This window comes from Homo sapiens, chromosome 13, assembly GCF_000001405.40.
Source record: "Homo sapiens chromosome 13, GRCh38.p14 Primary Assembly".
Lineage (NCBI taxonomy): Eukaryota > Metazoa > Chordata > Mammalia > Primates > Hominidae > Homo > Homo sapiens.
Genome location: NC_000013.11, coordinates 26,373,975 through 26,401,916, shown reverse-complemented (window position 1 = coordinate 26,401,916; position 27,942 = coordinate 26,373,975). Strand labels below are relative to the sequence as shown.

Genomic DNA, 27,942 nt, shown 5'->3' with positions numbered 1-27,942 from the left:
TAGTTTCATTTTACAGATGAAAAAACGCCAGGAGATATTATCCTACTTGTCCAAGGTCACACAGTTAATAAATGGCATAATTTGTATTTGATCATTCCAAGTCTGGTTCAAAAGTCTAAACCCTTGCTACCATACCACTGTCAGTACTTTTCCATGCCAGTAACATTTCATGTTAATGTATTTCCCTGGGTATACAGACGTCAGTATTTCTCAATTAAATCACATTTTCCCACGATCATAAACCCATATGTAAACACTGACATGCAGTCAATACAAAATAAACTTGGAATACCTGATAGTCTGAGGTCATGATAAGTCCACCTGAGGTAGTGGTAGGAGGAACAACTCTCACTTTCTTCAACGGGGGTCCCTGTGTGTGACTGCTGTCTTGATTCCCTGGGTGGCCAGTTCCATTAGTGTGGTTATTGCCCTGCTGCTGCTGCTGGTTCTTCTCAATTGGTTAAACAGAAAAAGTTCAGCTCAGAGGGAGAACAAAATATACCCACAATGGAAAATGTTATGGAGGCATTCACGAAACAAGAAGCTGCTAACAGTACTTTAATACTTACTTTGTCTCCTTTGTCATCAGGTTCTTCTTCCGTTAAAAATTCTCGTTTTGGGTAAGGGATTTGACAACCGGCAAAAACGCTGATCATAAGAAAAAGAAAAACCATTTCTGGTATACTAATCAATATTCCAAATGCTTCATTTAGGAGATTCTCATTTTAATCTTTTAAGATGAACTTTGTCTCCATATTTGCAAATATAAGCACCTTTCATGTAACTGTGACAAAACGAATCTTTTCTTTGTAACTAGTAATATTACAGCAGGCTACTTGAGGGCTTGAGCTGTATACAAATGATCAATAATCATCGAGTATGATTCAGCTTTCTTCTTTTATCCCAGCATTACTCTTCTATTAATACAGACCAAATATAGATTCTAGCTGAAGTATGTGTCACCATTCAAAGGTAATTTTTGTTTTACCCTTCCTACTACATTTATTAACAAAACAAAAGATGGTATAGGGAACACATTTGGGAATATTTGCAATTTTGGAACATGAAACTGTAACTGCAGACAGTAAGGAGCTACAGCACGCATAACCAACCTGTCACTGAATAGCTGGATCACTACTGAAACTAATGTGATCAGCATTTCATAAAGCAAGAGATGAACAGGAATGCCTCTTAACTGGAAAGCCCCTAAATGACACTTTAATCAGCAAAGCTCATTTTTGCTTGTCATAAAGGATTTCCTTGGGTTCCCATATAAGAGGAGGAGCAACTTAAGAGCTGACAAGCAGAAGAAAGCATACTCCAAAACTTCCATCATGCTGATGAGTTAACCAACTAGGCCACTTACTCTGATGTAGGAAGTGGGTCTTCTAAGAAATAGGGGTCCTGCATAGCCTGTTCTGAGGTAATTCGCTTTATTGGGTCCATGGTAAGCAGCTTCTGAAGCTGAAATCACAAATCATACAAACATGACGGTATTGCTTCTCACAGTTATCTTTCAGCACATATGTGAAGACGATATATATTTTTTGGTGAATAACATCACAATTTGGAAAATATTTATTCCCCCAAATTAACAACAAAACTCCTAGTTGTTAAATTTAATGTAGTAATTCACACTTTAGTCATTCCAGTTTCATAATCTCACTTGTTTTACTCTTGCTTATGTTCTCTGACTAAACAAATGGATCCCCACCCCCATTATCTAAATGGCTTTATCCAATTTAGAACAGGACCAAAATTTGTGTATTTTCTATTCTTTTTCTATTAAGATAAAAAAGCTGTTGTTACACATATAATACACTAACACATGCAGTGATTCATATTTAGATCCAAGTTAATCAAAACTGAATTAAATAAAAAAGTCAATCTCCCCATTACACCAGGCACATTTCAAGAGCCAAATGTGGCTAGTGGCTACGCTACTGCACTGTGCAGATCATCACAGAAAGTGGTACTGTGCAGTGCTGTTCTAGTCTAAATAAAAATGGTGATACACAACTTACAAAGTACAGAGCTGTGTGATGAGCAGAGACTCTGAAAGTCGACTGCTCCATTCAAATCCTGACTCAACATTTATTAGCTGCGTGACATTGGATAAGTTACCTTAATATTTTTGTTACCTCATTTGTCAAATGGAGATTAAAAATGGTGACTATTATCACAGGTTGTTTTCAGGATTAAATGAGTTAATATATGGAGAGCAATTATAATGGTGCCTAGCATAAAGAAAGTACTATGTAAGTGCTTGCTCTTATTGTTATTATTACTATAAATGCCACACTAATGTGAAGATTCAGTATTTTTTAGTTAAGACATAGTTCATTCAATTGGATTCTAATATGTGGTCTCTTAGTTTATACTCTGATCTAATGCAGTGGCTTTCGGACTTTAGGATGCATGAGAATCACCTGGAGAACTTCTTAAAACAGACTGCTGGGCCCTCCTCACAGAGTTTCTGATTGGTAGATGTGAGTAGGAGCCAAAAGCCTGCATTTCCAACATGGCCCTACATGATACCATGCTGCTGGACTGAGACTGCATTTTGAAAACCAATGAACTAACAGACACATTAAGACTTAAAAGAGAGGCCAGGTGTGGTGGCTCACACCTGTAATCCCAGCACTTTGGGAGGCCAAGGTGGATGGATCACCTGAGGTCAGGAGTTCGAGACCAGCCTGGTCAACATGGTGAAACCCCATCTCTACTAATAATACAAAAATTAGCTGGGTGTGGTGGCAGGCGCCTGTAATCCCAGGTACTCGGGAGGCTGAGGCATGAGAATGGCTTGAACCTGGGAGGCAGAGGTTGCAGTGAGCCAAGATCACACCACTGCACTCTAGCCTGGTGACACAATGAAACTGTGTCTCCAACAAAAAAGACTTAAAGAAAGATGACAAATTTTACAGGATAAAAAGACATTTTTTTTTTTTTTTGAGATAGAGTCTTGCTTTGTTGCCAGGCTAGAGTGCAGTGGCACGATCTAGGCTCACTGCAACCTCCACCTCCTGGGTTCAAGCGATTCTCCTGCCTCAACCTCCCGAGTAGCTGGGACTACAGGCATGTACCACCACACTCAGCTACTTTTTGTATTTTTAGGAGTTTCACCACATTGGCCAGGATGGTCTCAATCTCCTGACCTTGTGATCCGCCCGCCTCGGCCTCCCAAAGTGCTGGGATCACAGGCGTGAGCTACCACGCCAGGCCGACACGACATATTTTAAGATGCAAATAAAACGCTAGAATGGTGAGATTAAAATTTAATTTTAATGATCTGATATTTCAGAGAAAGCACAATTTTATTTTTAGGGTTGAAAGGAAAGGCCTGAATTTGCTATTGAAAATACCCAACAGTTTTAATGGAATTATAATAGGGCTTTCCTAAGAGACTACTCAAGATTACCTCCAATTAAGATGGGTCACCCTGGTAAAAACAAGCACATAAGCTACAAGGAAGGTATATCTCTAGAGTTTTAGTGGTGATGGTAGGCAGAGTCATCCTAGACTATAATGAGTAGCAGGGAATCAAGGAGAATAATAATTCCCCTAAGTCATGACTTCTAATCTTCTGCCACTATCATTATTTTATTAGAATCAGTAAGTCCATAATTTCGAAGGATCTAACTTAGACCTCTAATTTGGGTCCTACTGTAAGTACATTATAATAAACCATTATCTGGATAATATATTGTGTGGTAATATGACAGGTTAAGAATGACTTTTTAAATTGCTGTTAAGATATGAAATACATGATATAAAATGTGAACTGATATAATAGTAAGTAGAAAATACAGAAGGAGAAGCAGTAGAAAGCGAAGAAAAAGGAGAAACAAAGGAAGAACAGAAGAAATGTTTGCCAAATGGCCTGGTTGCAATAAAGGAAAGGTTAACCTCTTCAAGGTGAAAGAATTCTCATTTAAGAACTTAGGAATAAGGATTAAAAGAATTTCAAGCCAAGCAAAATACAACCTGCTTCCCCAAACTCCCCTTCTATGTGTTATAAACCTTTTTCTAAAACAAAAAACATTATTAATTATTACGCTGTAACAATGGAAATTTTATTGTAAACAAAGTTGGTAATGGCTGTATATAATTTCATCACAAATTACCTTGTTAGTGCACGGATTCAATTAGATTCTAGGTTAAATCATTTTTCCATTACACACTGATAAATATGGCATCTATCACATTCTTCCAGAAAAATCAAATAGCACATATAATCGCTGAATGACTGTTAACATTTAAGGTTATAAGAGGTATTTTGGAAATTAAGAACTTTGTAAACAGTCTTTCAAAGAGCTGAAATACAAAACAATCTATTTATCAATGGTGAGAAGTACTTTCTTCTTGATACTTCTCTGGAACTTTTAAAATCTTAAACAGACGAAAAACAATACATGTAATTTTATAAATGTTTTGACAGATTTGTTACCATCGCTATCTTTAGAAAATCTAATGTGACCAAACATTAGTCTGTCAAACCATGATATGAGTCTGGAAGAGCAAATAGTTTATTGTCTTTATTGGTATGCACTAACAAGATCTCTGCATTTACCATGAAAGCACTCTGAGTGCTAGCTAAGTAACCACATAAATTGATCCAAAAAAGCCTCAGTTGGGCTAGTCAATTAAGGAAAAAATGCATTTCATTAATACTGTTAACCAATGCTTACCAAGTGGAATGCTTTACTATCTGGTTTAACTTTATGTTTTTCCATATACTTGATAAGGCTGCAGTTGGTATACCTGAAAGAGAAATACTATGAAATAGCTATATTAGACTTGAGGTTAATTGTACATTGGCTAAAGTCCTTCTGATGAGAATTATTTTGATCATAACCGATATAAAATATATATTGAAAACACTATGAGCATAAAATGAGTAGAATTAAATCAGTTTTCTATTTCATTCAATATCCACAATGGTCACTTTTGAAAGGATACCGATGATTAAATGTAAGACAATTTCATGAATAACAGACACTAAACAGCTTTTTTTTTCACATGAATTATATTTTAACAATTATTTTAAATAACATCTGGGTCAAAAGTTTAATTCAGCCTTACCAATAAGTGTAAAATACTTTTGTCATAGGTATACAAACTAAACTCTCCCAATCCCTGGCTTTGCATTGTAAACAGGTGAAATATCCATTCTTCTCTGTTAAAACCTGCTTAAAATTACTGTAACCTAGATTGGTGAGCAAGTGGCTATTACCAAAGTTTATTTATTTAGATTCTTATTTATTCAGCTGTGATACTTCTCACTAATGTCTAGCTTCCAAAAAGTAGTCAATATGGAAAGACATGAATTTGTTTTATATCCAAATCAGCTGCTAATATTAGTCACTTTTGTATATAATCATTTAAGCATCTTAAGAAATAAAGACTGTCATCATGAAAAATATTTATTAGAGTAAATAAGTAAAATTATTTATTAGAGTAATCTTATATTGAGTATTTTATTATGTTGAATATTCAGTCTTACACTGAGTATTCTGGTAAAGCAAAAATCAACAAGGAGTCTCTTTTTTTCCAACTTACGTATTTCTTCTGAAATCTTTCATTAATGTTGAATGTTCAGGCATCTTTTTTATATCTTCCCAATCTTTATCTGTGAAATACATTGATAAATTTTTATGTTGCCTAAGTTCCTATTCTTGAGAATTTTTAAAAAGGTTATTACCACGTTCATTACATTTCCTATCCGTTCAACCTCCACACAAAAAAGCTGTCTTCAAATAAATGTTCAGCAACAGTAAATATCTTGAAGTGTAAACATAATTCCTTATCCCTTATATAACTTTATATATCTGTTTATATTTTAAATTTTAAACTGCAAACTTTCTGTATGTTTTACTATAAGCTGCCTCAATTTCTGTCACTAGAGAAGAATAAGTTATACATATTTCTATTTATCTTATTAAATGTCCTCTTTCTATTAGTAAAACTGCTTATTTCCCCTTTTCTACCAAATTTCTTGGTTAAGTCAGCAATCAATTTCTTCAATGAGAAATCTAAGATCTTCCCCTCAGTGGCTTTAAACTATACTTCTTTTTATGATACAGCCCTCCTTTCACCTTGTTAAATATATTTCTTTACATAAGCAATCAATGGAAGAAGGGGTAATAACTATTTGCACAATAGGGTAGGATATAATTAGTATATTAATAAGTGGGCTGGTACCTTGGCTAGTCTGGTTAACATTACCCAAAACAACCCCAGCTCCTAAATACGTTAAGTACAAAACGTTTCAGCTACTTTTGCTGGCATCCAAGTTGCTCAAACAATACATGCTACATAATGTGTTCTCTCCAATATCTGCCAATGGGTTTTCCTGAGAGTCTACTAGGTGCAAAGGACTGTCACAGGCAGCTTAACAGCACCTTTAGCTCTTTTTTTTTTTTTTTTGAGACGGAGTTTCGCTCTTGTTAACAGCCCAGGCCGGAGTGCAATGGTGCGATCTCGGCTCACCCCAACCTCTGCCTCCCAGGTTCAAGTGATTCCCCTGCCTCAGCCTCCAGAGTAGCTGGGATTACAGGCATGTAATCCCATGCCTGTAATACATTACAGGCATGTAGCCACCATGCCCAGCTAATTTTGTATTTTTGGTAGAGACGGGGTTTCTCCATGTTGTTCAGGCTGGTCTCAAACTCCCAACCTCAGGTGATCCGCCCACCGCGGCCTCGCAAAACCTTTAGCTTTTAAATGGCCTTTAGAGGCTTGCTTTTCTTTGAACTTACTTGTAAAAATATTTGGTAACTATCCTCCAAAGACATCACATATTGTAAACTAAACATACACTACACTCCTAAATGGAATTTTCTCCTTAACTATTTTCCTTGCTCCAATTTCTGTGTTTTATCAATTTCTCATGCTAGAAATTTTAAGATAATCTTTAGTTTTCCCTTGCTTATACACTTCCTATAAAACATTTCCATCTGCCCTTTTTTCTCCATCCTTATCTTCACTCTACTTTCTGTCTGCAGCACTGCTACAGCTGGTTTCTGATTTCAGTTAGCTCTTTTTAACAGATTTTTACCTACCACCATCTTACTAAATCTTTCTAAAATGCAACATAAAGCATGTCTCTAGTACTCAAGAACTGATGGATTCTCATTCTTTAGCTATCAAATCTAACCTCTGCTGCCTGCTTTCCAAGCTTCCTTATAAACCACCCTAACCTCTGAACCACATATTAAGAGTCACTGATAGACATCTTCACCACATCTACTCCCTCACAGAAGCTATGCCTTTCCCGTGGGCTCAGAAATGGTGGACACATTCAGAAGCAGGAAGAAAACAGAATTCTTCTGTCTCTACTCAAAACCATACCTACTTTTTAAACATTCTACATATAGCAGTACAATGCAAACTCCAAGGGGGCAAAAATCATGTCTGTTACATCATCAATAACTTTTTACTTAAGACAGTGCCTGGCACATGGCAGGTACTCAATAAATATTTACTGAATAAATAAAATTCCCATCACAACAGAAGTCTTCTCCACACTGGTGACCAATTTTGGAGAAAGGCAGTATCTGTGTAGTTATTCTGCATTTACTGATAATTAACACCCTTACAAGGGAATGTAGAATTAAAAGTCCCAGGTATTATCTCTATTAGTCTTGAGTTTATAGTGACCTGAGAAATATTCCTAATAAGAAACACTTTCTACTAAGTACTTGACTAGCCAAAATTTAGGTGTTTTAAACAAATTCTCATTATTCTGGACCTCTGAGCAGTTTTTGGTGATTACCGTTCTGTAATATAACTAGGGATTGAGATACAGTTGGAGAGATCTAATACCAGGGATAGGATACATGTAAACCATCTCTCTGTTGCAAAACAGCAGGCTAACTCACCATAGGGTACTATGACTCTCACCCACATTGTGACTGTTCTAAGAGAAGACTTAAATGCTATTATTCAATATAATGTGATTCTGTATAGTGCCCTAAATAGAAATAAGGTTCAAAATTTATATTTGAATGCCAAATAGTGGCAGTATTATATGTGCTGCCAGAAAAAAATTCCTACTACTGAATTCATTTATAGTTTCTACTGGTAAGAGCTAAAGGTACCTTTTTAATACAGATATTGAACATATTTTATCATTTCAAATACCAAATAACAAAACAAAAAAGTAAAACAAGATGAAACAAAAATACAGTCCTGAAATTCAGGAAACCCATAAATATTTCCATGCCAATATGTAAACTCTACAAATTTTGCTGTTTCTACGGATCTTTGATAAATGCAAGTCAAAAAACAAAGACTCAAGTAAAAGTAGCTTCCATCAGCTAAAAATATATACCTCTCCAACGAAGACATCTAAGTTCAAACAACAGTGATTTAAAAACAAAAACAAAAACGAATAATGTGTACCTGCAGGAAATCCCATTACATTGAATATTCTGTCCAGCTGGTCATGGTGATAAGGATTACTAGTTTTGATGTCCTCTTGTCGACAGTGAAATATTGGTTCTGACGTTAGTAGTTCTGCAAATATACACCCTATAGCCCAAATATCTTTAAAACAAAAAGAAAAAAAAAAAGAAAGAAAAATAGGCAAGGAAAAAAGAAAAAGAAAGGTGCAAAATAAAGTGGTTCTTTCCAAAAGAAAATGCAATTTTATTTTCTTGGGGAGTGTTTTTTTCTTTCTTTCCCTAATAACTCATATTAATTCCTAAGCAATTATAATTACTAAATACCATGAAACATTATTATAAGTATATATTCCCATGCCCTCCACCCCGATTTTTCATTCTGTATACCTCCATACCACCCAAATGGTTTCACTCTAAGCCCAATTAAATGTACTGGCTGGATTTTGGTGAGTTTTCAATGTCCAGGTGATACCTTTTCTGTGAACTACAGTAAAGCTGCATATGGAGCATGGGAACTACAACCAAAGAAAACTAAACAAAAACAAACGGAAAACCCAAACAGTATTTGAAATTGGGCACTCGCCTAACATAATCAGTGTAAATTTTTGTGATAAAATATTTTTTATTTTATTTACTTGCTAATTTGCAAGGTCTAATAATTACCCTCTCATGTTAGCACTAATCAGTAAGGTGGTATTCCACCAAGAGACAATGTCCGACCTCAAAACGCCTAAGAATTAACAGCATTTCTACTTTAACAAAGTTTTTTTTCCAAAGTGGTTCTTGATGCCATAAGCAGTATCAGATTTTGCAAATTTAAGTATTTAATGCAAAGGACAGGAAGCAAAAGCAAAATATTACTGTTAACATGGATTATAAATTCGGCCGGGTGTGGTGGCTCATGCCTATAATCCCAGCATGTTGGGAGGCTGAGGAGGACGGATCACGAGGTCAGGAAATCAAGACCAGCCTGGCCAACATAGTTAAATCCTGTCTCTACTAAAAATACAAAAATTAGCTGGGCATGGCGGCACGCGGCTATAGTCCCAGCTACTCAGGAGGCTGAGGCAGGAGAATTGCTTGAACCCGGGAGGCAGAGGCTGCAGTGAGCCGAGATCGCGCCACTGCACTCTTGCCTGGGCGACAGAGCAAGACTCCGTCTCAAAAAAAAAAAAAAAAAAAAAGGGTTATAAATTCAAATGAATTATTGACAAAAGCCAGGCAAATGGGTTTCTCTGTACACAACAAAGTAAATTCCTTTCATTCACAAGATACAGATTTACTTTCATTCAAATTAAATTTGTACTCAAAAGAACTATTAGTAGAGGTAAGATCTATTTGCCAATTTAGAATTTAAAGCTGAAAATATTTCATTTCTACTCTTAACAAATCCTAAACTAAGTACAATGGTGTGCATATAGCAGACCCTCAACACATGGTTTTTGACTGACTTAACCAATACCTGTGACAAATATAAATAACCAAAGGGAACAAATCAAAATTACTATTTTATCAAAGCTGATTGTTCAGATATGTTAATAACTGTCACTTAAACAGGAAATAAGAAAAAACCTAAAATGAGAATTCCTAAATTCCAAAACTGGAATAGAGATATTTAATTTAATCTAAAATTTCACATATTTACATTTCAAAGTAACAAGTTAATCACCTATTTACTTAAAGATTCACACTGACTGCAGCAAGTGATTTTAAAAAATGACATCGTATTTACATATCAGAGAACCAAGCCTAGCCAATACCATCATATGGAAAAGTCTCATCAAGAAACATAGGCCAACCTATTTTGTTTTTGTCATCGAAAGGTATATGGGAAAATTAATTATTTTGTGATTATTCTTTTTATATGGGTATACCCTATAAATCTAACCTTTGATAATCAATGGCCACATAGGCAGCTAAGTAGGATCACAAAAAGGGATGATGGATGGCTTTGCATGTTTAAAATTCTACTTACAGCACACCCAATAAACACTGTAACAATTCATCTGGTTAGTTATTAAAAATTCCAAAGAAGAAAATAAAATATGTAAAGGAAGATGAAAGGTAAGTAGTTTAGCTATAATTAAAGCTACACTGCTCTTAGCTGAGCATACTGGCATATGCCTGTAGTCCCAGCTACTCAGGAGGCTGAGGCGGGAGGATCGCTTGAGCCCAGGAGTTTGAATCCAGCCTTGACAACATAGCAAGACCCTATTTCACAGAAAAAATGTATGCAAAGCTACACTGCTTTTTAAAGAAAAAGTCCAGTCAACAGGAAAAATAACTTATTGAACCTTGCTTAACTCCCTCCCATCTAGTAACTCTTCTGTCTTTATAACTGCTATTCTCTCTCACCTTTGTCAATTTTACCATTCTTCCTTTCTTCAAAATCCTGACCCATACATTAATCATTAACTCTGAGTCAGCTGATCAGGCTATTATTGCAGATAAATTTCTAATTATTGTAAATAAGTTTCTTTTTCCTACCTTGTTTTTTTTTTTTTTTTAGATTGTGCCCAATTCATGGAAAGTCTCTTTAGTGTTCACCTGCCTGCCAAACTCCTTATAAAATGGCTTTCCAAATTAAAAACATATAAGTTTCATCTACTTCTCAAAATGTGTGATGCTTATAGGTAGCTACTGAGCTAACCAGGCAAAGGAAATAGTAGGAATTGGCATGCTATACAGACCAAATTTGGGAGGAGAAAAGACTTTGCTCAATAATATTTGAATCAACAAGTGTAGTAATAGCAAGCTTCTTGTTTTGATAAAAGGGAAGAAATTCTCATTTTCTCTATTTTAATGTGTATTTCCCACTTAGCAGAATGCCTCACATTTAGTGGCCATGCAGCTATTTGAGGACAAACACCTGAGCTTAAAAGTCCATACTTCAGTAAGACTTTTAGGACTACTTTAGTGGCACTGAATTAGAGATTGATATCCCTTTTTTTAGCCTTTTCCCCAAAGTAAATCAGACAAACAAAAATAAAAAACAAAACACTCAAAAGTGAATTAAACTTAGTTCCTGGGATTACAATGTTTACTAACCTATTATTTCCTCTCTTTGGTTTAGTGACTCAGCTTGCAGTTCTGCACAACGGAATAAACCAGCACAGCACTACAATCTGTTTGTAGTAGATGGGGCATATGTGAGTTTGATGCGTTCTGATCAGATTTTTTTCCCTATGCTTTTGCTCCTTCTTAGTAGCTTCGTAACAGATGTAACCCCTTCATTAAATGGAATGTATTCAGCAAATTATCTGTATGTTCAACTAGAAAGGCTCTTCTATCACCTGCTCACAATTCAGCTATCAAACAAGGAAGTCAAAATGCTGGGGAAGTTCTTGGTAAGCAGCTTTAATGGTGGTGTGAGAAATTTGTTGAGTATTTTAATCTTTAGGCTACCTCTGCAGGAGACAGGAGGAATGGGATTGTGTGGTAGAGGCTGGTATTAAAGAAAAGGTTCCATTTTGTAATTCCTTCTTATTTTTATTTTATTTTTACTTTTTATGAGTCAGAGCCTAGCTCTGCCACCCAGGCTGAAGTGCAGTAGCGTGATCTCTGCTCACTGCAACCTCCGCCTCTCAGGTTCAAGCAATTCTCCTGCCTCAGCTTCCTGAGCAGCTGGGATTACAGGTGCCCGCCACCATGCCTGGCTAATTTTTGTATTTTTAGTAGAGACGGAGTTTCACCATGTTGGTGAGGGTGGTCTCGAACCCCTGACCTCAAGTGATCTGCCCACCTTGGCCTCCCAAAGTGCTGGGATTACAGGTGTGAGCCACCGTGCCTGACCTTATTTTTAGAAACTTAAATTGAAAGTGGTTTGTGTATATTATAAATTTTGAATCAATGTTTCAATAGAAGAAAGTGTTCCCCAAGACTGATCTTGGGCAAGCAGGTGTACACCAGACGACGGTGTGGGTTGGAATCACCACTGCTGAGAAAATGGCACTTACCTTGGTTTCAATCCTTTGCACCCAAGTCAGTTCCCTCTGTAACTTCCCGGCCTCAGAAGGCAGCTGTTTTTATTTAAAAGCTTAAAACTTTTTGGCTGGGTGTCGTGGCTCACACCTGTAATCCCAGCACTTTGGGAGGCCGAGGCAGGCGGATCACTTGAGGTCAGGAGTTCGAGACCAGCCTGGGCAACATGGCAAAACCCTGTCTCTACTAAAAATAAAAAAATTAGCTGGGTGTGGTGGCACAAGCCTGTAACCCCAGCTACTCGGGAGGCTGAAGCAGAATTGCCTGAACCTGGGAAGCGGAGGTTGCAGTGAGCCAAGATTGCACCACTGCACTCCAGCCTGGGTGACAGAGCGAGACTCTGTCTCTAAATAAATAAATAAAAGCACAGAACTTTTGAATTTAGAGAGATCAAAGAGACGACTCAGGCTAAATTCTCATTTTCAGAAACTGAGGCTAAAGCACTAAATGCGTAAACACACCCCAGAGTGATAGAAGTAAGACTACAACTTCGGCTGGTAGTCTTTGTTACTTCCGTTGTTCAAAGATGACTAAATTATTGTATGCATATATTCATACTGTCTTCTCAACTGGACTGTAAATCTCTTCAGGGTAAGGCCCATCATTTGAATTCATATTTGGTCCTCCTAACATAGTAGTTACCCAATAAATGCTTATGTTGGTGAGGAGGAGGAGGGAGGAAAATATGAAGAAAGGCCTCTCTCCCAAATCATACAGCCATTGGGACAAGAGAATCTAGCTCCCTAAGTGCTGGTAGTTTAGATTTGTGGCACACTCCCTGCATTAGAACTGCTAGACTGTAGAATATCCTAGTGAGTAAAAGGTTATATAAATCTTAATGTTTCCAATAAGACATAAGCTTCTCAGGAAAAATAACAAGATAATAAACAGTGAGCCAGAGTCACAAGTTTCTGTGATAGTATATTTTTTACTCAATTTAAATAAATTCAAGTCTCAGGTGTTCAGTGAATAGGAAATAAGATTAGGCAATCACTTTCTTATTTGTATAGTTTGTTAATATGCTTTACCAAAAGTAACACTGCTTTTAAACATTCATTTTCTGAGTGGAAAAAAATCTCTGTGTATCACATTAGTTTATATATGTCCTTAAATGCCTTTAGAGTACACTTGCAAAGAAGATACCCAGATATGTATTTAGGTAATAACATGTATTCCAAAATAGGACTAGAATAAATCATCCTTATTTTTCCTTTTAACTGACTTAACTAAATATTGTATTAATAATTTTATATTTATAGAAAAGTTACAAAGATAGTATAGAGAATTCCCATATCTAACTGACTTATTTTTCTGTAAAATAAAATGTGATCTTAAAGCATGTGTGAAGATTAGAACATAAAGATTTTTGGAAATGATATATTGGATTGAAGATTAATATGGGGGAAGATCACAAACATTGCTCCTTTTCCCTTCTTGAATCTACATTTAATTGACAGCAAAGTCATACAAGTGTAACTGCACAGTAACAAGAACAGGAGGAGACTGTCAGAGACAAGATTCATTCAAGTATCCAACAAAGAAAACTGAGTTCTCACTACATACTATGTAGGCACTGGTTTACAACGGTGAACAGTGAGGTGAGGTACACCTGTTTTAGTGGAGTTTAGATACCCTTTGAGTCAATGAAGACAATAAGGTAAAAGAAGGTGTGAAGGCGGAGGTAGGGTGCTATTTTAGACTATGTAATCCGGGAAGTTCTCTCTGAAAAGGTACTATTTTCACTAAGGTCTGAATGAGAAGAAGAAACTGGCCATGTGGAGACCTAGAAGATGGAAGGCAGACAAGACAGTTCAGAGAAGGTCTCAGGACACAGTGCTGTTGTTGAGTGGGAAGCAGACTTTTCCCCTACAATGCTGCGAAGATTTTGTTCTTGGGAATACCAGCTACAAAGTCTGTATTTGAACAGGAGGAGCTGATCCTCCTCCCTACTCTCTATCATCACCCTGGGGCTGCCAGGTACATACAGCATGGGCCAAAAGTTGGAGGACTCTTCCCTGAAGACTTTGGCTTCAGAGGAAAGACCTGCGCCTTCTGGCATTTAGAGGTTACCCCAGGCAACGGTGGCTCTCTGCTGTATCACCCTAAAGTTCTCACTCTATAAGCCCCATGATTTATACAAAGTTCTCAAGCAGTTTTAGTAACCTGATTTTTAAATACAAAGAGACACTCAAGGGTCACCAAACAGTTGAAGAATGCTTGCTACATGGAAGGGAGAGATCAAAACATACAATGAAAAGAGTGACTGTAAAGAAAACACAGATAATTATTCTGGGAATACTGCAAAATACAAACAAATCAGCAATGTTATCATTGTCTTCACAGATAGTAGGCTTTTCTTTCTATTAAAAAATACAAGATACTATGAAAAAGTAATCAGAGAACAAGAAGAGGTTTTTAGAAATGGATATGACAAAGGCAGAAAAACATGAGAAAAAAGTAGTATAAAGGATTAATCCAAGAAATTTAACATCTGACGACACTGAGTTGAGGAAAGAGAGAAACAGAAAACATTGAGGAGGAAATCAAAGGACTACACAAGAGAATTTCCCACAGATACAAGATATGAACTTCAGATTGAGTGTGCCCACCAAGTGGTCAGCATATCACTGTGAAATACAAGGATGAGAAATCCTTTTTGTTTCTAGAAAGAAAAAACCCAGGTGATCTACCAATGACTGGGAACAAGACAGGCAGGAGACTTCATTAGCAATATTGACACTAGAAGGCAATGGAGGGGTGTCATCCAAGTTCTGAGAGGAAAATTCTTTTGTACCTAGAATTGTAAACCCTGGCAAGCTAGCAAGTATGATACCGACCAGCATTTTTCAGAAATACAAGAACTAGAAAATTTACCTCTAAGATACAGTTCCAAAGGAATTTACATGAGAACATACTGTAGCAAAATAAGAAATGAAATCATGAAATCCAGAAAGCAATAGATCTAACCCAGAGGAATAAAAAAGGGAAAAGGCAGGATGAAGTGGTAGAATATGCCTGGAGACCAACCAATCCAAAATAGAAAACCTCAGGATGCAGTTACCCAGTAAAGGAAAAGTGGGTTTAATACCATCCTGGAGGATACAGAACAAGTTAAGGAAACCATAAAGACACAAAATAAAGAAAAGAAGAAAGGTAAAGCACACACAAAAAAACTACTTGATGATAATGCAACCAAAGAGAATGAAGCAGAATCAGGTTTGAGTAATGGACAAGCGATGGTGAAAGGCCTAGCAGCTGAGCATTAAATGCACAACTTAAGTATAAACAACTGTGGGAACTATGGTTAGCAAACAAAACAATGTCAACATTGACAAAGTGATGAAGATATTACTAATTCTGCTTATAGATTGAGAGGTTGGTAGGGGAAGAAGTGTAAGAGCACTAATTTCCTCATTCTTTATAATAGGGAGGTAACTGATATTATCAAAAACAGAAAAGTGGATTAAAATGTCCTAAAGTGCTAAATTGTTTTTCATAATGTCTTTCCTTTAATTTTAGGGGGCTCTTTTAGAAGTTAGTATTTCTTTTGGTAAAAGAAACATTTGTCTTAAGTTAAAGGACTTCAAAATTGTAGTTTTATAAATTAAATATAAAATTTTAAATAGAATGCATAATATGATCCCATTTAATTACAAAGATTTTTGATATCTTTCTATGCAGAGAGAAGTATGTGGAATGATATACCCCTATTGCTACTGATAGTATTTCTAGGTAGTAGAATGTTGGGTTAGGCCTTGCTCTTACTTTTATTTTTTATTTATTTATATTTTTTGAGACAGTGTCTCCCCGTCGCCTAGGCTGGAGTAGAGTGGTGCGATCATGACTCATTGCAACCTTTGCCTACCAGGCTCAAGCGATCCTCCCAGCTCAGCCTCCCGAGTAGCTGGGACTACAGGTGCACACCACCATGCCCGGCTAATTTTTAAAAATTTTTGTAGAGACAACGTCTCACTATTTTGCCCAGGCTGGTCTCAAAACTACTGGACTCAAGTGATCCAGCTGCCTCCGCCTCCCAAAGTGCTTGGATTACAGGCATGAGCCATCACACTCAGTCTGCTCTTACTTTTATAATTTGCTATACTACTTAATTTAAAAATATATAGGAATGTGTGTCTTTTAAAGAAACTTTTAAAAACTCATGGAATTTTAATTAGTTCTACTCACCAATAGCTTTGGTATAATGCCTTGCTCCAAGAAGTAGTTCAGGGGCTCGGTACCAGAATGTAACAACCACTGGATCCAAATCTGCTAAAGGCTTCAAAGGTGAATTAAATAATCGGGCAAAGCCCATGTCAGCTGTAAAATAATAAAAAAAAAATCATGCTAAGTAAATGATTTTTACAAATCTAACCAATTAGTCTAATTTACCATCTTATTCAGTAAGATGAAAAATGTGCTCAATTCTAGGGGAAGAAACCCACAAAACATCCATTTTAGAAGTCTTACATAAAGCAAGTTTGAAAGCTCCATTCTCTTCAAATTACTGTTACCCAGTTCTTCAATGGGGTTATAGTCAAGCTCTGCTGCCTGAGGTCAGGGGTGACCTTGCTTCTCTGGGCAGATTTTTCTTTCCATGTGTCACCCCACCGTTAGGGACAGGGTTGTTGAGCTGCATTTCCATTCTTAGTACTGGTCACAAGCACCAGGAAATGGGATCAGTTAGAGTAAGGCTTTCCATTATTTCCATCAACAAGCCTGTTCACTGGTATAATTAATCAGAAGCTGACTATGCAATATTTTAACACCATTATTTCCCCTATTACTTGGGATGAATTTCACTAACTTAATTTTAAGGAATCACAGTATTTTTTTTAAAAGCTAGGTAAGACTTTAAAAGTCATCTGATTAAATCACCTCCTTCTCCAGATGAATATGGTTCAAGAAGTTAGGTGATTTGACAAAGGTACATACTCATACCTCAGAGCTAGAACTGAGATTAGATACAGTTCATCATGGCATTTAACACAGTTTAACATGTAGTGTAGTTATTCGGGCATGGCTGTTTATCCTGCTATACCATCATCTTTTAAAGGCAAAAATTGCGTCTCTTTCATATCTATCCCTAATAGTATCATGTACAGTTGTCATTACACATAGCTTTTGCCTAATACATGTTGAATGATCACTATTCATACCACCTATTCAAAAATTTCAAAATTCACCCACCATTTGATAAGTTTAGTTCTATTTTCCTAATACACATTTTTTAATGAAGTAGGCCTTACTATAATCACCTTAATTACAAAGGTAAAAAAAAAAACCCAAAAGTTGGCAAATAATTAAAACTATGAATAAGATTACTAAATACTGATTTACAGAACTAGTATTTCTTCTTAAATGTGAATGCTTTAAGACGTAGCGTTCCCCAAACCTGCCAACATCACATATATTACATAGAACTATAATTCCAAACTAGATTGTTTTAGTGTATTACATAAATTTTCCCTAAATTATACAGTAAAGAACACTTTTGTAATTACTGTTTGGCTGGCTCTTTTCTATTTTGCATGCTTTGAACTTACATTTGAATTTGATGCCGCAAAAATGGACTGGAGAGACTCCTTTAAAAGCACATGTAAAGACTTAACAGGCATTTTGGAAGGCACTAGGGTGAGTGCCGACAGGTTCTGCTTCTCAAGGAAAGCCAAACTTGGAGTATGTTAAGGCACATCAAATTTCCTCATAACTAAACATTTGCAAAGTTTTATCAAAAACAGAGTATTTTAAGAGTCTAATTAGAAGTGGAAAGTGAGATCTGGGGGGATTTATAAGGAAGAATATTAGGATTAAGAACACACATGTGTTTCTTTGTTGGTGAAGTGATACAAATCAGCTGTTACTTCCAATTTATATTAAATCTTGTGATCAGAAGTTGCTATTAACTTTGTTACAATCCTGATGTCTTTAAATTAATACAATTTAAACATTTCTTCTACAAATACACAAAACAAACTAAATATATGTGACAAACACAACTTGGAAATGACAATGAAAAAAAATCAGATTAAATAAACTTAGTTTTATCCTTACAGATTATCAGACCAGAAGTGGGTAAAATTTTGCTTTGATATGTAAGAAAATAGAGCTATCAGAAAATATGTACAGAATGCCCATTATTTTTTCCCATCAGGGAAAGGCCTACTACGAGACAGTCTTGTTAGAACTTAAGGTTCTGTATCTATCCAGCCTCATGGTTTTCCCTAGAGTTTGTATTAACAACTCCTAATCTAGACGAGGTCAACAGAGGCATATGTGCTCATCTAATCTGACTCAAGCGAACACAACTGATAGTAGAATTATTAGCATGCTGTATGTATGCCCTTGTGACTAAAGGTGAGGCTGGCCTCTAACAGAGATAGAAGCCCCTCACCTCTATAGGCCATTTTTAATGAAAGCAGAGGTTTCTGGGAAACTTGCACGGTTTCATAATTAGAATGCTTCAGTCTTTAGGAGTGTCTGACACCTTTCAAGAGTGTGAAACATTTTTCACTTTTATGCATACTCTTTAGAAATGGCTTCGATCATATGGAACTACATGAATATATGCATATTATAGCAAAAATTAGAAGTGATATAGCTGCCTGCAAAAGTTTTAAAAAAGTGCTACACTGTGACTTAGCAAAGATATAACATACCAATTTTTACTCTTCCTCGCTCAGGACCTTCACCCATAACTAAAATATTAGCAGGTTTCTGTGGAAACAAAATAGTGTTTTTTTTCAGTAGACAGTAGTGGTTTCTTTTAAATAGACAATATGCCAATATAACACAAATCCACCTTTTAAAAAATCTCATTTATTCAAAAATTAAAACCAAATACAGGAAGTCACCAAAGAAACTGTGCATGTATATATGCAAAGCGGTATGCAAATTTCATGAAGGCCCAGATATGGCAGTGCTTTTCTCCACAGAAGGCTGAGGCTTTTCTTGGCCCTCTTATCAGTCTGTTTTCACTACTGGCAAGCATCTCACAAAGTCATGTTGTGGTTCCTTCTCACTCTTTCAAGTACATAAAATGTCTTGCTCTGACTTTAAAGGAAAAATGAATCGAGAAAGATGATTTAATACCAAGTAGCAAATTAATTATAGGCAAGGAATCACCAGAAATCCTTTTTTGGAAATGACAAAGTATGCACCTACATTTAAATAAACGAATTATTGAGAAATTTAATAAAGTACTTTAGAAACAAGTTAGTCAAGTAATAGGAATTTTTCATGACAGGAACAGTTTTAAGATTTTCATTTTTAAGTGAAAAAGTAAGCTAAAATTTAAAGAAAGAGTTTACAAAGCTTTCAGTTTTTAAATCTTTAAAATATATACTGATTGTCACCTATAGTCTTTTATGGTGGTATCTACTACACTAATGAATAAAGGCTGCCCTTTCTTTAGGAAAGCGAAGGAAGAGCAGAAGGAGTAAGGAGGGGATGAGGGGAGAGAAAGCAGAGAGGGGAAGAAAAAGGCAACTGGTTTACTCCTTACTCACTGTACTATCCTGCTATCTACTTGATTTGACTTGAATTCTACCAGTCTGCTAAATAAAAGTGAAACTAGATTGAACACCTCTTCGGATACTGACATAAATCACTTTAAAATCAAAGATTGTAGTGAAGCCTGTTTATAGTGGTAACCATTTCACAGGCTTCTCTAACCATATGTAGTGATGGCCCCTAAGCTATTACTGCCAACGTTTAATGTGTAGTATACTAGCCTATCACCTACCAAAGATAGTTATTCCCAGCCAAAAAAAAAAAGGTATTGCTGAAATGGCAGCACTAACATCTCAGAGGTTAAAAACTCCTACAATTTTTAAAGTTGAGTCCACTAGGCACCAGAGAGGTTAAATGACTTGCCCTAAATATAATCAGCAAGACTGGGTAGCAGCAGAGTCTACCCTGTCTTTGAATAGTCTGGGGCTCCCTTCCTAATTTATCATCCTGAAAGTAATTTTATGCAGCAGTTTTTGGAATTAATATGCACTGCTGTAATAATAATAATAATACTGATGTTTTATTCACAAAAAAATCTCAGAACCTCTATCACTACCACACACACACGCACTTCTAACCACAACACTAACAGTATTCCCTGGGAGCTACACACAGGTGCTACCCAGGACAAATAAAATTGTTTTCATGCACCACGGTAATCAATCAAGACTGGTTAGTCTCTGTGGTCTCTTAGGGCCCGGCCTACTTCAGAGAGAAGCCAGATTTCTGAGATAGTGCAAAATGCTGAAGGCAGAGAAAGGCTTTCCAAATGGAATTAGGCAGCATTTCTATTTGCTAAAGGATTGCTCCCAATTCAAAATGTGGGCTCAGGAAGAAACTTCCATGTTTATGCTAGAACTCTCCTCTCATGGTTCTTCAGAGCAGGACTCCCTAAACACCTGTTGAATACACTCCCTATTCTTTAACCCCATTTTGAATCTCTTCCCATCAAATTCATCTTCAGTCCTGCTGCCAGGGTCATTTTCATAAAAGACAAATCTGATTATGTTACTCTCTTGCTTAGAACCTTCCACACGGAAAATTATTCCAAGAAGACTAGGTAAAAACAGCAGAACACAAAATGATATATAGATTGTGATTAGAACTAGGTTAAAAAAAAGTTCCTGTGAATAAGGACTAGAAGAATAAAACTGTAGAGCGATAGAGGTATAAATGAACCTTTTCAAAAGGGTCTTGGCTTTCGCTATGTTTTATGACTATTATCAAAATGTTATTTTGGTTGGGTGCAGTAGCTCACGCCTGTAATGCCAGCACTTTGGGAGGATGAGGCAGCAGGGCTGCCAGAGTCCAGGAGCTCAAGGCCAGCCTGGGCAACACAGTAGAACCCCACCTCAACAAAAAAAATTTTTTTTTTTTAAATCAGCCAGGCGTGGTGACACACGCCTGTAGTTCCTGCTAAGGTGAGAGGATTGCTTGAGCCTGGGAGGTGGAGACCGCAGTGAGCCATGATCATGCCACTGCACTCCAGCCTGGGCAACAGAGTGAGACCCTATCTCAAAAAAACAAATACAAAAAAAGGCCGGGCACGGGGGCTCATACCTGTAATCCCAGCACTTCAAGAAGCCAAGGTGGGCGGGTCGCCTGAGGTCAGGGGTTCGAGACTAGCCTGAACAACATGATAAAACCCTATCTCTACTAAAAAATACAAAAATTAGCTGGGCGTGGTGGTGCGTGCCTGTAATCCCAGCTACTCAGGAGGCTGAGGCAGGAGAATCACTTGAACCTGGGAGGCGGAGGTTGCAGTGACCTGAAATCAGGACATTGCACTCCAGCCTGTGTGACAGAGTGAGACTCAGTCTATAAAAAAAGAACACCTACTTCTACTTTAACTTTGATTGGTCCTCCCCCACTCCTACATAAGGTCCAGTCCTTGTGATGGGATGCAAGGCGCCTGGCAGGCTGCTTCCCATCACCCGCAGCCCTGCCTTCCCCTGCATCCCACTGCTCCTGCTGCATGCATGTTTTCATGTTTTCGCCATTCTTTGAATAGACTGCAACCTTTCACAACTATGTCATCGCTATGCCATTTTCTGTCCCTGACCTTTCTTCTGATCTAAAATTGGATTTTCCCCCTCTCCCTTAATGACAGAAGTAATACACAAACATTTTCTCAATTAAACAATTCGAACTATAAAGCTGCACACAGTTAAAAGTCCCTTTTACCACCCATCCCTCCTTTACCCTACCCCAAATCCCACTACCTTCTCCAGAGGTACAAGTTGATTAGTTAGATTGCTGTGACTGATTTTTCTAACACCGGAGTGTTCAATCCTAAAAGATTCTCTCCGTATCTGGCAAAAGCACAACGAATACATGCACATGTCTCTCCTCTGTCTATCTGAGATGGAGTGGAAAAGATCTCACTCTCACACCATCTTTTTTTCTCCTTCCCTCTTTTTAAACACACTTTCTTACTCATTCAGCAGCTGGGACACAGATCTGAAAAGCCCTGGGATGGATGGTATTGGCTTGGCACTTGAAGAAGGGGAAAATCCCTCTCTTGCTTTTCATTTCAGGTTTCTTTTATTCTAGACTTACTGAACTGGTCGAGTTCTAAATCTAAGTTTGACCACTGGTGGGGGGATAAATAGTATCTTTGTCAAGGTCCGACCTAGTATTAGAGTTTGGGGCCCAAGCTCCAGTTAATAATTAAAAAATTACTTTGCTAGGTAACTCACTGCCTACTGCACCATCTGAAGCAGATTCCACCTTACCAGCATCTCACTTTTATCCCAACACTCTCTCTTTAGTGAATTCAGATTCCGTTTGGGCATGCTACAGCCAGAAACAAAAGACAATGGTCTTAAGTGCTGTTGTAATAGCACTATTTAGAAATGATGGGTCCCTCCTCATGTTACTTTCCATTAACACTACATATGCCCCAGGGAAAGACAGTATGATTTAGTAGACAAATCAAACTCTAAATTTCTTCTTTTCTGAATGTAATCTAATGGGAATCTTAAGAGAAAAACACAGGAAAGGCCCTAATGATGACTACTCTTGTCATGGGTTCTGTTTTGTTGTTTAATCAGTATTAAGGAAGACTTCAAAAGACTTGATGAATAATTTTTGTTTTAGTACTTAATGCAATGTTGAAACAATATTCTACTCGCCCAAAAAACTAATTTCTTGATATATACTTCTTTCCTTTTCTTCCTCGTCTATCAGTAGCAGAATTTGGTAGCAGTTTTTAAGCTCTAGCACCAAAACTTTACATGAAGTGATTAGAGGTAACTTTGGTAAATAATCTCTGATCTTTTATATGCTATCAAACATAATCACCTTAAAAGAACATATAGAACTTTGCTGGTGACATTCTGATGAGGCATATACTCCATTAAACTGTATTTGTTGCCATGGAGATCAGAAATCCTACATGACTTAAATTATAATATCATGGCAACATCTTCAAGTATAGCAAAGCCATGCACAGAAATAATGATAGATCATCCTTGATTGCCATCTGAAAAATGATATAAATCTATGAGATACTACTGTTTGAAGCAATGGGTTCCCTTATCTAATTGTTGTTTTATTTCTCCCAGGCTTTTCTTCTTCTTTTTGCTGCTGCACTCCCAAAAAACTCATTGATATTTCCTAAAGCAGATGTTTGTATTGCAGAGACAACCATTCTGGCAGAAGCTTTCTGTTCTCCAGCATGTCATGCTGGAGGAGAGTGCACCAATGATTTTGGCATACACCAAGGATAGCAAATTGGTTTCGTTTTAGGAGCCAACTCTGATGGAAAAATAAAGAATTCAAAAAGCTCTATCTTGAAAAAGACAAGAACTGGGTTGATGAAGAAAATGCAGCATTTATCAGAGCTATCCGACATAGGAAGTGGAGAATGGTGGCACATCTGCCAAGTTAACGGCAATAACTTTATTCCAGGGGTGAAATGAAGTCTTCAGATATTTACTAATGTATCAAGGCAAATTGGAGATTTTGAGTCAACAGGAAAAGTTGATTCTTGATGGATCTCTCTATTAAAAGAAGACAATGATCCATAAGAAACTATATTGTCAGTGCTTTTCTCTGTCATTTGTCCAGAATTAAACTTCCACAAATGTGTAAATAACACAGCCTGGTGGTAAACTTTCTAGTTACTCTATGATTATTTTGTATAATACACACTGAAGGGACTGACACATATCTCACATTTCAAAAGTCCTATGAGATTCAAAAGCAGGCAGCAAAGTCTTAAATAGACACATACTCAGTAAGTTTTACAAACTGTTTTACTGTAATCTTCTAAAGAGTTAAGTGATAGAGATAAACCTGGAAATCCAGTGATGAAATCTTTATAATACAGTTTTTCCTCTTTTTTTCAGGGGTATGAATTTTTTACCTCTAATACTGAAGTTTACTCCACTAGTACTGCTGAACACCTTAAGCTCAAGGAGAAATTACCCACTTCTAGTAAAGTTGTTTCTTGCCTTCCTCTGTTTAAATTTGAAAAAAAAGCATAGAATTCTTAACCAATTCTGTTTCCTGATAAAAACAACATGTATGTTACTTATAAACACCTAACTTCATTCTCTATAGTAAACAGTTCAAGTACTATACATTCATTCTTATGTTCACTGAATTAAGAGGCACTGAGGATCAACAGAGACACAAACAAACAGTTCCTGCCCTCTAAGAGGTCATAGTCTAGGCTAAATGGGTGAGATAAATTCAGGAATGGGAGAGCTTCACAGATGTGGCTGCCTGGCATCTGAGGAACAGAGTGCCTTCAGGACTCACTGAGATCCTGCATGCAAAAGCCACAGAGCTGGGGCTGCACCCCCTGTTGGGGGATAAAGGGAGCACTCAGAATGTGCCACACACTGGCAGTACTCAAAAATCATAGGGATATTAACTAGTTTCTGACTTACTTAAGAAGTCCCCTTTCAGGGGGAATGAAAGTTATTTGACTGTCATCTTCAATGCAAATCAAAATATTTTATAAAACAAGGACTAACTTCACAAGAGTAATAGTGCTAATAAAAGATGACATTTTCTTTTTATAATTCCCTCTTATTTTTCTCTAATCCATTCTACTAACCCTACCTTTTGCTTTCGTCTATTTCTATTAATACCAAGTTAAACTAAAATGGTCTTTCGTCAATGGTCTATCATCAAACATATTTAAAATAATAAACATTGTTCAGATTAGCTTTAAATTAGTATCCTTAAAACCCAAGGGTTTTTTCTTTTTTTTCTGCAGATACTATGGGGTTTTGAGTTTTTAAATTACAAAATTCTTAAGCTGCCTATTTTAGGCAACTGAGGCATAGCACACTAGTTTAAGTGCTAAGAGATCAATATGGGATAGAACCTTCTATTTTCACTGACACAAAGATCATTTACTTCCTGTAGCAGAGCCTAGCACAGGCAATATTACTTCCTTAAAAATGCAACATGGATGTACAGTACAAAAACTGCATGGCAAGAGAAAACACACTTTTCAATTGCTGGGCACAGATACAACTTACTTCTAATAAAGAATGTGTACACATATTAACATGTGTATATATTTTTTAATAGATGGAAATGGATTTTTTTCAAATCTGATTAATTGCATTTTTGAAAAGCTGTAAAATTTTATAACAGTTTAAACAAATTCTAATGAGTCAAGTAAGAAAGAAGAGATAACTAAGCTGAAGACTAGAAGGCTGAATAACATCAAGGAGACCAAATGCATCTTAAAGGAGAAGTATCAAGGCACAGAGACAGTATCGAAAACTTTTAGCTTTCAAAATAGTTCCTTTCTTTCATTATTATTAATTTAACTTGATGTATTAAAAAAGCGAACCTAGCTTACATTGAAATCTGAAAATCACTCTAATTCCAATTATTATTCTAAACGATGTTAATTTATAGATTTGGTGGTATAACAAAACTAACTTTGCTTTGTCTACTATCTTCCCAAGTATTACTTCCTTGACAAATCTAGATGTTTGTGTATTACTTTTACTAACTATACTGTATTCTTCTATTAACAGACACTTGGTTATGCCACTCCCACCCCCTACTTTTTTGGCAGTAACCCTAACGATGTTCCCATTGCCAGTGTAAAATTATGCTCCTCGCCCATCCCCCAAAGCCCTGATACATGCACCATATAATTTCCTTGGGATAAAATCTCAAAAGTAGAATTATCAGATCAAATCATGCTAACAGATTTATTGTTCTAAAACTGGACTTTTAAAAACTTTTTAAATGTAATAGTATCTCCTATAAATCATATTTTATCAGTTTACAGACATCTTCATTCTGTTCTACAGCCATAGATGCTCCATTGTGTGCATATTTTATGTCATAGTTTACTCAGTGTCATATGCTTGCCTGCTTAAGTGGTTTCCAATATCTTGTAATTAAGAAACAATGCTGCAATGAACTTTGTGCATATATGTTTACACTGTTGTGGTATATTTTTAGGACAAACTGCTAAAAGCAGAATTTACTGTGTGGAAAGATATATGCATAGGTAGATTTGTTATGTATCATCAAATTTACTTCTCCAGGTGTTGAATCATTTTGCATTTCCATTTGCAATATAAAAGGGTGTCTGTATCTTAAGAGTGATAGGCTATCTTTTGGCAAGCCTGGACAGTGAGCAGGCAGTGAAGCTGGGCAACATCCTCCTCTTCATCAACTCCAAAACACAGTACACCTTGGGTTTTCAAGAGATTTTCGTGTTTTGTTTTCTAAGCTTCAAAGGTAATACACGCTCAATGGATAAAATTCATAAAATGAAGAAAAGCACAATGAAAACAAAATCATCTATGATCTCTGAACTAACAATGATCACTTTAAACGTTCTGGAGTAATCTTTTTGGTTTTTTTCTCCTTATAAAATTTAAAAGGCATCAAACTAAATATATTGTTTGCATCCTTCTCATTTAGTATTATATCATTAAAATTTTTAATCTGGAAATTACTCTTCTGATAGAATCTTTACAAAATTACTTTTCTGATATGAATTTACCATAATTTATATAGCTCATTTCCTATTAAACATTAAGGTTGTTCCTAGGTCCTTAAATTTAAAAAAAATGCCTTGAAAACATTTCTGCATGCATCTATCAAAAATTCCTAAAATTGCTGGGTAAAGAATATAAACATTTTTAAGGTTTCTTGATACGTATTAACAGATTTTGCGAATTCAACATTATCATTTCTAGAAATAACACCATCAAGTATAATAAAATCAATCTGTAAAACCAAAAGCAATGTATATCTCATATCTACATCATATAATTTTATTAGCTTGATATATAATGTAACATATTTTAATTTGCATACCTTTCATTGGTAATCATATGACTTACTCTGTAGTTTTGTTTTATTGACAAGACTTTTATTAAGCTAATATATTCATGTTGATTATATTCTAGATAGTAAAGGTATATTAAATTATTTTTGCCATTTTCCTAATATATTGCTTTTCTCTTGCTATTAAATCTTGTATTTACATTTCATATACTATAAGAGTGTTTTTATAGAGCTTTTATATTCAGCCTATTTATCATATCTTTAGTGATATTTGTCAGTTCTTAAATAGGAATTTACCACCTGCTGTAGCTGGACTAAATATGCTAATTTTCTTATATACATTTAATATACTGTGATCCACATGGGCTAGACAATAGTTTAATATACAAGTAATAATAACAAAAATTTAATTAAAGCAAGAAAATTCTTCTCCCTACTTACTGACGATAATGAGCAAGGCCCTTCTTTATTGTGAAATAGCTTCTGGATTCTTATAAGTTCTCATAATCGCATGAATCTATTCATGAATTTTTTTTTGAGATGGAGTCTCGCTCTGTTGTCCAGGCTGGAGTGCAGTCGCGTGATCTCCGATCACTGCAAGCTCCGCCTCCCAGGTTCACGCCATTCTCCTGCCTCAGCCTCTCGAGCAGCTGGGACTACAGGCACCCACCACCACGCCCAGCTAATTTTTTGTTTTTTGTTTTTTTTTTTTTTTTTTTTAGTAGAGAAGGGGTTTCACCATGTTAGCCAGGATGGTCTCAAT

General features: G+C 36.3%; 1 protein-coding gene across 5 annotated transcripts in view, besides 1 other annotated feature; it reads right to left on the bottom strand.

Moving 5' to 3' along the window:
- CDK8 (cyclin dependent kinase 8) overlaps window positions 1-27,942 on the bottom strand; it is a 151,110-nt gene that overhangs the window by 3,322 nt on the left and 119,846 nt on the right. For 2 of the 5 annotated variants that reach the window (XM_047430033.1, NM_001260.3), the window contains 8 exons: window positions 19,046-19,103; window positions 16,575-16,706; window positions 8,407-8,550; window positions 5,563-5,632; window positions 4,692-4,764; window positions 1,367-1,464; window positions 570-648; window positions 293-451 (listed from right to left, as the gene is read on the bottom strand). In XM_047430033.1, coding sequence (XP_047285989.1) covers window positions 293-451; window positions 570-648; window positions 1,367-1,464; window positions 4,692-4,764; window positions 5,563-5,632; window positions 8,407-8,550; window positions 16,575-16,706; window positions 19,046-19,103 — 813 coding nt within the window. Of the gene's footprint in view, window positions 1-292; window positions 452-569; window positions 649-1,366; window positions 1,465-4,691; window positions 4,765-5,562; window positions 5,633-8,406; window positions 8,551-16,574; window positions 16,707-17,932; window positions 18,996-19,045; window positions 19,104-27,942 lie in introns of those variants that run through there. The other 3 variants (NM_001318368.2, XM_011534865.3, NM_001346501.2) reach the window with 3 other exon arrangements.
- Window positions 22,490-23,005: an enhancer, noted in NCBI's record as "NANOG hESC enhancer chr13:26953049-26953564 (GRCh37/hg19 assembly coordinates)". NCBI's record gives its function as "activates a minimal SCP1, AML or CMV promoter by ChIP-STARR-seq in primed H9 embryonic stem cells {active_cell/tissue: H9 hESC(primed)}" and the evidence as "EXISTENCE:reporter gene assay evidence [ECO:0000049][PMID:30033119]".